This window comes from Homo sapiens, chromosome Y (assembly GCF_000001405.40).
Source record: "Homo sapiens chromosome Y, GRCh38.p14 Primary Assembly".
In the NCBI taxonomy this organism is placed as follows: Eukaryota; Metazoa; Chordata; class Mammalia; order Primates; family Hominidae; genus Homo; species Homo sapiens.
This window is the reverse complement of record NC_000024.10, coordinates 9,453,714-9,465,682: the sequence shown is the minus strand read 5'-3', so window position 1 is coordinate 9,465,682 and position 11,969 is coordinate 9,453,714. Positions and strand designations below refer to the sequence as shown.

Here is an 11,969-nt window from a genome sequence, read left to right as displayed (position 1 = left end):
CTCCGCCTTGTGAGCCAGAGCCATATCCTTGCGGCTGCCGATTTGGGATGGCGGGCAGCAGGGGATAGTCATCGGGCCTCGGGGGGTATGGGGGCTGTTTGGGGGGAGGAGCCAGGTGGGAGGCACGTGGGGTCAGCCAGGAGGCAGGGGATGGGGGACAGCGTGGGAGCCGAGGCCACGTTCCCGCAGCTGTGAGGGCAGCTCGCTTGTAGCAGCCCTGGGAGCACGTGGTAGGGAAGGGGAGCCAGGGCCAGCACTGACAAGGGAGAATCGCGGCGCCAAGGTCCCTTTGCGCACAGCCCAAATTCGAAGGACGCGTTTCCCTGGGAACGTCCCTGGAGGACGGGGAATCTGTATGCCATTACCAGCCATTGAACCACCCCTGCTCTCGGTGCCTGTTTCCAGCAGGCTCACCCCAGAAACACAAGGTGCTTAAGACGGGTTCGCGGCGCATGGGGCTGCCGACCACCTGACGGCGGGCACCAGCTCCGCAGATGCGCATTCATCCAACTGCAGGCGCTGCACTCAAAGGCGTGTAGGCCCTGAGCCTGTATAACTTCCTATGGACCCACGCAATTCCCTTGGAGAGCGCCAGGCACGACCCTGCTGTGGCTTCTAACTACAAGGCTTCCCTCAGGTGGACAGGCCCACCCCTCAGGGAGACTAGGATAAGAGGACACCACACACCCGGACATCAGCGGAGCATGTCCAGCACCCAGCACACAAAGGCCTCCTGCATCTCAGAAACTCAGAGAAGCAGCCGCCTCACACCACCCCCGGTCCCTCCCGTCCCTCAGCTGCAACCACCTGCCCACTTTTTCTGCCTCCCGTCTCTGGTCAGCCCAGGCCGTCTTGGCCGGGTCCACCCACTCCAAAAACCACCACAGTTGTGGCGTTGCCTCCTCGCCAGACAGAGATAGAGGGCCAACAATGAAGGGTGACTGGCCAAATGTCTGGGAGATGGCCCTGTTCCACATTGTCTGTGTTCTTGCGAAATTGCAAGGCGTCACGAGGCTTGCCCACCCAATCCTCTGGAGAGTTCTTGCGCAGAGGTAGATTGTTTGGCACACGAGATGTCGGCGTGGGTCGGAAAGCATGCGGAAGTCCTGCTTTGCTACGTGATGGATTTGCAGGTCAGGCTGGGGAGCCTGGGTCTGTGGGAGGAGTCCAGTGTCTGAGTCAGTTTGAGGTCCCCCTGGGGACCAGGGTTGTCTCAGTGGGAGAGCTGGGAAGGGGAAACTCATGGTTCACTACAGCTAGTAGGCCACCTCAGCCCAGCTAGTTGAGATGGTCCCATTGAATCCATCCTCTTTCTCCTTGATCCGGCAGGTGGAGGAACTCAGCCATCCCGGTTACCGGTGGCAGGATGATTTCCTTTCATCCCAACCTTTATTTCCACAGTGAAATCATCATGAAGGAGCACTGTGTTGGCATCCTCGGTAAGGAATGCCTCCCAGCATGGTAGGGGAGCTGGTGTGTGGGAGGGTGGGACTGGCATGAACCTTCCTGACTCCTCTCCCTGCAGGCTACAGGGTGTCTCATTCCACTGCAGTCCAGCGGTTCTGGGATCACGAAGGTCAAGCCTCCAGCTGCAGGCAGTACACCTCCTACCTGAGCTCATTCAGCTGTTTGGCTGAACATGACTGCCCGGGTTTTGGCAGGATTGCTGAGGTGGGGTTCGCCGTGGGGCATCATGGGAAAGGACCTAGCTGGTCATTCCTTGGTCTCTGGGGAATTGGCTTTGAACTGTCACCTGAACTGTCCTGGACCCACTTCTGCAGTCCCCTAGATCATCAGCCAGGGCCTATGGCTCAATCCATTGCAGTTCTATCCCATGGAGAGAGGGTCAGCCCTAGAGGCGGAACAGAGAGGAGGCCAGGCGAGCAGCTAGGGCTGGGAAGGGCTGGGAACTGAGAGGCCTTTTGACCTGGATCTGGGCCCCACATGGAGAACCCAAGGATCCGGGAGGAGACTGCAGTGAGCAATCCCAGGCAATCCGTGGGTTGGGGGAGAGAGGCCCATCAGGGACATGTAACACCCACATTTCAGGATCGGGGCACCTTAAGCCACTATGATGCATATGTGGCTAAAGTCAGTGGGTGACAAGCAGGGCTTAAGGGATAGCTGTCTCATCATTACTCGCCAGCTCCCTGCCCTGCGGTAAGACCTGCTACCACCTGGGGCTCATTTTGAGATCAACCAGGGCCCCCTTTTTCTCCACGAGGATGTCCACCTGAGGCCCACCTAGGTCTGTGTCCTTTCACAGTGTTTCTCCCAGGCCAGTCATGTTTTGTTTCCATGACCCCGGCTGCCTTGACATGTGTAATCCTCTCTGCCATCCTCACTCCCGCTGCCCTGCCTTCCCATATAAGTTAGTCCACCTCACACGGAATCTGGAGGACCACACTGGGCTCCAGTGTGAGGCAATGTTTTATTTTCTTCAGGTACATGTATTTTAGGGCTACCTCCAGGGCTGGGAATGTGAAGAGATTGCCAAATGGCTGGGGACCTTCAGTGTGTGTCCAGGGAGGGAACCTGGCTGGGAATTAAGGCCCACCTGAGTAATGGTATGGACATCCAGTGTCAGTTATCTTGATAAAGGCCTGCTTTCTTACATCACCTACTATTAATATAAAAGTTAATTCCTTAGAATATTGAAAAAACAAATCTATGTATGAAGAAATATAATTTGTTCATAATTGTATGGAAAAAGCTGCCGACCGATCCATTTTCCATTACAATTCTTATGGGAGACTTGAAGGGTTTAGCAAGTTTTAAGATGCATTTCTATTCGTCTACTCCTGCCAGTTTTTATGATCATTTTTGTAATACAAGGACATGGCCTCTGGAAAGTTTTTGAGGGACTTTCAGCTTCTTTTAGGGTAGATACTTGTAAATTTTGAATTGTTTTCCCCTGCGGTTCTTTTGAGGTTACTCTTTGTACTTTCTTTGGGGGGTGTTAAATTTGTTTTCTTGTTTTGCCCTTGTGGAACTTTCGTTTTCAAGGAATTGTGTGTGTGTGTGTGTGTGTGTGTGTGTGTGTGTGTGTGTTAGATATGGGAGTTAGCCTGTGAGCATGTTTTCGAATATGGATTTTTTTTTTACTTATCAATTTTGGGGGTGTGTGTGTGTGTGTGTGTGTGTGTGTGTGTTTGTTTCTTTTCAGTTGGAGTCTCACTGTGTCATCCAGGCTGCAGTCAAGTGGCAAACTCTCAGATCACTGCAACCTCTCCCTCCAGCTTCAAAGGATTCCTCTGCCTGCTGATGCTGCTTTTCCCCCACATGAGGAGAACATGCAGACAGTTATAAAAAATTCTGTGCCTGGGTAGGTATGAAAATATAATTTCAATGAATGGTAAATTTCACAAATACAGTTTCACATTTGTATTTTGCAACATTTTGAAAATTTTAGTTGCTGACACATGAAATTCTGTGTTGACTTTCATGTTAAATGTACACTTTTGAATCAATTTCAACAGTGACAACTAGCGAAGGCCAAGCGTTAGTTCAGGAAGCTGAAAGCAGTCGTTCTGTAAAAAAAACCATATTTATTGAAGGTATATTTAGAGAGATTTTAGAAGGCTTCAGTCAATATTTTTGTTTCTGTTGCTCTGGTGTTTTATCATACAGGGACCAGACTGTAGCATCAGTAGCTATAGTTACAAGGCTACCAAAGACTCAGTGCTATAGAAATTATTATTGTGGAAATTGGCAGCCTGGCTGTCTGTTTGAGGAGACTAGAGGACTTAGGAGTTTCCACCCAAAGTACAAGGGCCTGGTTTAGTGGGTGGCCTTCTTTTGCTGAAGTAGATAAGATCCAGGAGAAGGGTGGATTCACTGTAGTAGCCAGGGCTTTGAGACTGGTAAAGCTTATTTGTCTCCTAGTGCCATTGCCAGATATTGGTCTGTGCATAAAGGCACTTCCCGGACTCGCTGACTCCTGTAAATTCAAATGTAGAATTTAGATTTAAATCCCTATTCCAACTTCTTAAACTTAGATCTAATAGGTGGGTAATAAAATATGTATTCAGAAGAAAGGGAGACGTCAGGTAGGTATATAAGCAAATCATCCTGGTCAAATACCTTCAAAAATATTACTACAAAAAATTACTGAAGATTAAACCTTAAAAAAGTTATTTTAATTGGAGAAACAGAAAAAGGTTGGAGTCATTTTAAACCCTGAGGTGTAAAGGTACTGTTATTAGATTACAGGAATTATATACAATGAATAATTTGTGGGAAGAGCAGCATACTATCTCTTTAGTATGGCTAGAGATTCATAAGCCGTGTAAGAAAACTCAGAGATTGAGAAGAAAATGTTTTCAGGGATTTTGTTCTGTTATGAAAGACTTTTAAAATGGTTTCCTACTGATCAATGATTCACTTATATTTATCACTGAGGCATATGCTATATACCCTTCTATATAGGGATGAAGTTATAGTTTCTATCATGTAGATACAAAAACATGTGACTCTGTACCACATTTGCATTAGAGCCTTTGGCATGATTAATGAAGCAAACGGTGGAACTGTCTACGTCAGGTTACAGGTGGGCACAGCTGGAAGCTTCCGTCCCTTGCACTTTAACATTTCTGCATTCTCATCTGTCTCTCCTGGAAAGAAAACGGACTATAACTATCCTAAAGGACATATGTTACATGAAGACACTAAGTATTGAGATAAGACCATGAGTTGTCTTATCAGTGTCTTGGCATTACATTTATATGTATAACTTATACAAAAAATCCAGTTTATTTTATCACGATTACATATTACATCCCACATTTATGTATTTTATTATCTTTCCAGTGACTGTTTTGTTTTGTTTTGTTTTGTTTTGTTTTGTTTTGAAATCTCGTTCCACTCTGTCACTCAGTCTGGAATGCAGTGGCCTGATCTCAGCTCACTGCAACCTCCATCTCTTGGGTTCAAGGATTTTAAAAATTAGTAAAGAATTTTCAATTGAGTTAGCAGAAGTAAAAATAAACTTAAGTGGAAATAGAACAACAAAATTGTAAACACTATTTCTCAGCAATTCATAGATTATCATACTAGGAATTGAAATGTACTTAGAACTCAATGATACCGCCAATATTAAAGATTAAATCTGTGAGTAGCAAGAAAAGTGATATTACAATAGGAGTTTACAGACAAATATTTCTCTAATAACTTGAAAATTAATGTACTAGATATTTCAATAAAGAATTAGAAAAGAAACAACAGAATCAATTCTGAAAAACTAAAGTGTGGGAATAATGATGTAGACAAAATTAGTAAAACATACAAAGCTAACCTTTGCTTGTTGGAGAAATATAATAAATGATGCAACCGTCAGTCAAGTTTAGAAAAAAAGGGAGAAAACATAGATAAAACTAAGAATTTAAAAGGTACACAACCATAGATACAGCATAGATTAAGAAGCTAATAAGGAAATATCGTTAACACCTTAACCTACAAATTTGAAAACTTAGGTCAAATAGACAGATATTTATAATCTGTCTATATATATAGACATATATATCGCTTTCTATATATATTTTCATATTTATACATAATTTTTATATTTGTATCTTACATTTATATATATAATATATAAACATAAGCTATGTATATAGCTTAGTAAAATTGATACAAGAAGACATATATAATCTGTATAGTCTCATAAATGTTCAAGGAAATAAAGGATTCTTCCTAGAGATAAAACGCTAGGCTCAGATTTTTTTCCCCAGGCAGAGCATTTCAATATATATGAAGAATTCTATAGAATAAAAAAGGGAAAATCCTAAACTCATTGTGTGAAGCAAGCAGAACTTTGACGCCAACAAGACATAAACTGAGTGTAGAAAAAGATATGAAAATTAAGGCCATTCTCATTCCTGAAGCAAATCGTAAAATCCCAAATGTAACAAGATTTATGTGGATTCTTTGAGGGTTAGAAGGAAATTTCCTTCTGCCAGATCCTGCTACTCTGGGACAACCCACACACAAATTTATGTTTTGAGATTTTCTGTAATACCCATGCAATATGGAACTGGCTTGACAATCTGTGTGATAGCCAGCCTGTGGCCATGACTTCTTAGGGACACAAATCTTTTCTGTTTGCCTCCTTGTTCTGCTCAGCTCCAAGAGAACTTTGACCAAAGTTCCTTGAGCTTGGAAATAGGAATGGGTTTGCTTCTGTTTCACCCTTACTGTGAAGATACAGTCCGGTGGAATCCAGATCCACTGGGAGAGAGTCGGCTATTAAACTCTTTTCATGAGTAGTCCCTAGGCCTTGACTGGAGTCTTTCTTGAGATATGAGGCTAATAGTTCCTTCTTGGTCCACCACTTTTTGATATAATTAATGCTTCTTCTATTGGGAATTTTTAATTGTTTGGGAAGTGACATGGTTTGGTGTGTCTCCATTCAAATCTCAGCTTCAATTGTATCTCCCAGAATTCCCTCGTGTTGCGGGTGGGACCCAGGGGGAGGTAATTGAATCATGGGGGTCGGTCTTTCTCATGCTATTCTTGTGACAGTGAAGAAGTCTCACGGGATCTGATGGGTTTTTCAGGGGTTTCTGCCTCAGGTTCTTCCTCATTCTCTCTTGGCATTGCCATGTAAGAAGTGCCTTTATTCGTATACCATGATTCTGAGGCCTCCACAGCCATGTGGAACTGTCAGTCCAATTAAACCTCCTTTTATTCCCAGTTTCAGGTATGTCTTCTTCAGCAGCGTGAAAATGAACTAAGACAGGAGGTTTGGTCCAAATAACCTTGGCTTCCATGACAGAAGATAGAAGTTGCTGAAATGTTTAATCTTTTCTGTGGCAACCTTTTGCAGTGGGTCTTATTTTTCTCATTTTTTTTTTCTTGTTCTCTTCACCTTTGTTTCTCACAGGGTACTCTCGCTCTGTAGACCAGGCTGGAGCGCAGTGGCAGGATCTCAGCTCAACACATCCTCCGCCTCCCAGGTTCAGCCTCTGCAGTAGCTGGGATTACAAGCATGCATCACCACGCTCAGCTAATGTTTTGTATTTTTAGTAGAAGCCAGGCTTCACCATGTTGGCCAGGCTGCTCTCCTACTACAGATCTCAGGTGACCCGCCCGACTCAGCTTCCCAAAATCCAAAGTGCTGGGAATACAGGTGTGAGCCACCGAGCCCAGCCAACTCCAGTACTTTTTACCTAAGCCAGTGGACGAGTGGAGTTGCCTTTATTTTTTTTTTTTCTTTTTTCAGTCATGGTCTCGCTGTGTCATCCAGGCTGGAGTGCAGTAGTCTGATCTCGGCTTACTATACAATCTCTGCCACCCATGTTCAGGTGGTTCTCCTACCTCAGCCTCCCAAGTAGCTGGGACCACAGGAAAGTGCCACTAGGTCTGGCTAATTTTTGTATTTTTGGTAGAGACAGCTTTTTGCCATGTTGCCCATGCTGGTCTCCAACTCCTGACCTCAAGTGACCCACCAACCTCGGCCTCCCAAAATGTAGAAATTACAACAAGAGCCACGAAGCCTGGCCTGGAGTTGTGGCTTTTTGACATAAGAAATCTGTGGAGGGAAAAGCTTGGTTTGTGGGAGCACCTGAGCTCAGTTTGGCTCAAAGGTTTGGGATACCTATTATTGAGTGGCAGTGATGGTATGTTGTTAATGTACAATATCTTCCTGTATATAGCATACGTCTATGCTCATCAGATATTTTCAGGTAAAAAAAGATAGTCTTTCCAGTAGTTTGAGCCATTATAGCAATTTCCACCAGGGGATTTCAAAGTCCAATTCCAGTTGTGGGCAACAGTGATTAACATAATGGTAATTAATGAGAAGAGATTTTGAGACGTCCAGCCACGTTTCCATGTCAGTGCCTTGTTTGCAGTATTATGAAGAAAGAGTGCATTGGACTAGATACTAAGAAAAACATTGAATTATTTTTCTTGCCTCTATAACATCAAAGGACAATTAGAGATATAGAAACTATGGAACATTTCACAGCATGGCTTGACATTTCACTGAACTTTTATCCTTTTAACCATGTACAAAGTTTGTTACCTATGCAAAGGTAGGACTGCAAAAGGAAGACAGAGGTGGAGTCAGAGGTCACAATCCACAGCAAGGTGACACTCTTGTTGATCGCACCTTGAAAGCCAAATTAGAGCGAGAATTAACTTTCCGGTTGCCGTAAGAGAACAAGGAGAATGAAGCTACCAGCAGTTAACAGTATTGGATTAATTGAAATGAAGGTGGACAGAGTTTTTTGGCTTTCCATCAAATTGAGTAAAGAAAAGGTAACCGCTTATCTAATTTCACACACATACAATTATGGATTAATTAAAAGATTACACAACCCATATATTATGGGTTTCTCATATAAGTGTATATATACATGGGCAAACTCACAGTGTGCCAGTATGTGTCTATATCCAAATATATACAAATCCATGTCCAACAGTTAGCAAGTGAGAAATTCTCTTCCATTTCACCATTCCCTTTCCTAGAATTTTTTCATAAATATAATTTTTCCATATATTTGAAGCCTACTCTCTGGAGGCATGTAATGCATGCATGCAGTAAACCTGTGCGATATCACAATGTTGGTGTCAGAGAAAACTATAACACCGATGTTATAAAAGATTAATTGTGAGGAGAAAGTTATGCTTCGCATTACTACAAATACACAAGTATGATTTCATCCAAAGCTGAAATCAGTCAATATAATTTGTTTTTAATGTTTTATTTAAAATCCTTAATTTCAACAGGATTACTCAAGAAAAATAACGTTATTGGTATTAAATAATGTTGACGTATTCCCTTTAATTGTTGATTATTTAAAATGTCAGTAAAATAGTAAATGGCACTGTACAATGTAGTTTCATGAAGCATTCTTTATAGTTTTCATAAAATTGATAGTCTCCATGGAATATTTTAAGACTGAGGAAGTTCCATATATCATTTGATTGTACTTTCACTTTATTACTTGCTTGCATGTCATAACTGATGGAAATAAAACTATGTATATTTACAAATATGAAAAACATGGATTTTTGTTTACGTTTTCTAGTGAGACACAGTTACCAATAATTTTATCTATATAGGAAAATTTTTACAAACCCAAAGTTCTAATGTTTCTTTTCTTTGAAGTTTCGTATTTCAGTCTAGGTATGTAATGGAATTGGCTGTGATCATTCTTTGATTTCACTGTTATTTGTGAGTTTCTGATATGCTTTTAGGAATGAATAGAGTTTAACGCTTGCTTTCTTCTTCTTCCTCTACCTTTGGACCTGTATATGCGATGTCTGCAGTAATGTGCAGTGCTATCTGACATACGGTTGCTGAAAGATACAAGCATATATAGAATTCTTCGTTTCAGTGAATCTTTAGGAACAGACAAGTAACCTGAGAGATAATTACGGTATGAATGTAAGCAAGCAGTTTATCATAGAGGTACAATAAGGGTGAAAATAAATTTAAAAATACATGCCTCATCCAAAACATGAGGTAGTAAAAATGAAAAATTTAAGTTGGCATAAAGAACACTTTAAAAGTTCTGATTCTTTCTGGTGAGAGCAAGGAGCTCAGAAACCATGAGAAAGTCCTTCAAAGCTGCATGTTGGATTTGCAGGTCAGGATGGAAAGCCTGGGTCTGGGGGAGGGTGCTAAGGTCCTGGTCAGGTTGAGGTCCTTCTGGGGCTCAGGTGTGTCTCAGCGGGAAAGCTGGGAAGGGGAAACGCATGCTTCACCCCGGCTAGAATGCCACCTCAGCCCACCTAGATGAAATTGCCCCTTCACAGCCCTGTTTCTCCTTCTTGGACAGGCAGGTGGAGGAACTCGGCCACCCTGAATACAAGGGGTAGGAAGAAGTTTGCCTTTCATCACAACATTTACTTCGGAAACAAAGTGATGACTAAGGAGTATTGCGTTGGCATCCTCCCTGAGGAGTAGAGGGGGTAGTACCTCGGGAGCTGGGCCTGGCGTGCGCCTTCCTGACTCGTCTCCCTCCAGGATACAGGGCGACTGGCTCCACTGCAGTCCAGTGGTTCTAGGGTCATGCAGGTGAAAGCCCGAGTTTCCCGCAGGTCACTGCCTGAGCTTCTTCAGCTGGTTGTCTGACTGTGAGGGCCCAGGTTACGGCACGATTGCTGAGGTGGGGCAGCTATGGGGCATCATGGCAAAGGACCTTCTTCGACATTCCTTGGCATCGGAGGAATTGGCTTTGAACCAGAACCTGACCTGTCACGACCAATTTGCCCAGTCCACCAGATCATCAGCCAGGGCCTGTGGCTCTATATTCTGCAGCACTACCCAAGGGAGTTAGGCCCTCAGAGAGGGAACAGAGAAGAGGCCAGGGAAGCAGCCCAGGGCTGGGGGTTGACAGGCCTGTGGGTCCTGGAGTTAGGACACACATAGAGAAGCCAAGGCTCAGGGAGGAGACTGCAGTAAGGAAACTCAGGCCATCATGGGCTGGTGGAGAAATGCCCATCAGGGAACTGTGGTACCCACATTTCACGATGGGGGAACCGTAATCTGCTTAATAGGCACAAGTAGCTAAGGTCAATGGGTGGGAAGCCAGGGTCAAGAGATAGCTCCCTCATCATCCCTTGCTAGCTACTTCCCTGTCCTGAGGCTTGCTTCTACCTGGGGTTCAGTTTGGGCTCAACCAGGGATCTCTCACCCTCCACACAGATGCCCACCTGAGGCCTCTCTAGGTCTGCGTCCTCCCAGAATGACTCTCCCAGGCCTGCTAAGTACCGTTTGGATGACACCACGCTCCACTGACATACTTGGTTCCCTCCGCCATCCTCATTCACCCAGCAACTCCCCACCCCAAAAAAGGCAGGCCACCGCACAGGGAATCTGGAGGACCACACAGGGCTCACAGGGGAGGAAATGTGAAGAGATGGCAAAACAGAACAGGACATTCCGTGTGTTTCCAGAAGGCAATCTGGCTGGATATTAAGGCCCACCTCAGTATTGGTGAGGACACCCAGTGTCTCTTGGCCCTGAGCTTGTGCACACAAACACGCACATTGTCTAAACGGCATTGACATCACTACTACCTGAGTCATCCTCAGATTCTATACAACCCCTGTAAAAATATCAATGACACATTCTTCTTAGAAAAACAATCTGGGAATCCCAAATTTGCTATGAAATGGCAGAAGATCCTGAAAACCCAGAGCAATCCAGTAAAAAGCACAAAGCTGGAGCCACCACACTACCTAACTTCATGATATACTACTACAAAACTTTTTGTACCAAAATACAATAGCACTGGCAGAAAAGCAGAGACTAGAGCTTAGGAAAAACAACAGGAGCCCAGAACTAAGTCACTGCATTTGCAGCTCACAGCCTTTTCCCAAAGAAGCAAGAACGCCCAATGCAAAATCAAGTATCTTCTATAAACTAGGTTGGGGAAATCTGAATAGCCACACAAAGGATTTTACAAGTGGATTATTTATCACCAAACTCCAGTGTCAGATGTGAAACGATAAAAATAGCAGAAGAGATCACAAGGAAGAAGCTCCATGGCGTCCGTGTGTGCAATGATGGTCTCAAAGTGACTGCAAGAACACAGTAAACACCATCAAAAATAGAGAATGGAATCATATCAAACTAAAGTGCTTCACCACACCATAGAAAACTCAACATACAGAAGGGGCATCCTACAGGATGGGAGCAATGATTGGATCACCATACATCTGTTCATGGGGGAATAGTCACAGTACATAAGGAACTCCCAACAACTCAATAGCATGAAAACAAATGGGCGAAGGCTGCGAAGACTCATTTGTGAAACTGAGACATACAGTTGCCCAGAAGACACACTAAAAATTCCTCATTATCCCCAATCCATCACGAAAATGCAAATCAAAAACACAATGAGATTTCTTCTCACTTCAGTCAGAATGCATATTATCCGAAAGACAAACAAACAAAAAAAAAAAAAGAAAGAAAAGAAAACCCTAATCTCTGGTGAGGAGGCAGAGAAAACGAATTC

At 43.8% G+C, this 11,969-nt stretch overlaps 1 long non-coding RNA gene across 1 annotated transcript; it reads left to right on the top strand.

Moving 5' to 3' along the window:
• FAM197Y5 (family with sequence similarity 197 Y-linked member 5) lies at window positions 1,338-6,940 on the top strand. The gene is made up of 4 exons (NR_046300.1): window positions 1,338-1,439; window positions 1,526-1,671; window positions 3,167-3,325; window positions 6,881-6,940. It is a non-coding gene; the product is annotated as a family with sequence similarity 197 Y-linked member 5 (long non-coding RNA).
• Window positions 6,941-11,969: the final 5,029 nt, after the last annotated feature.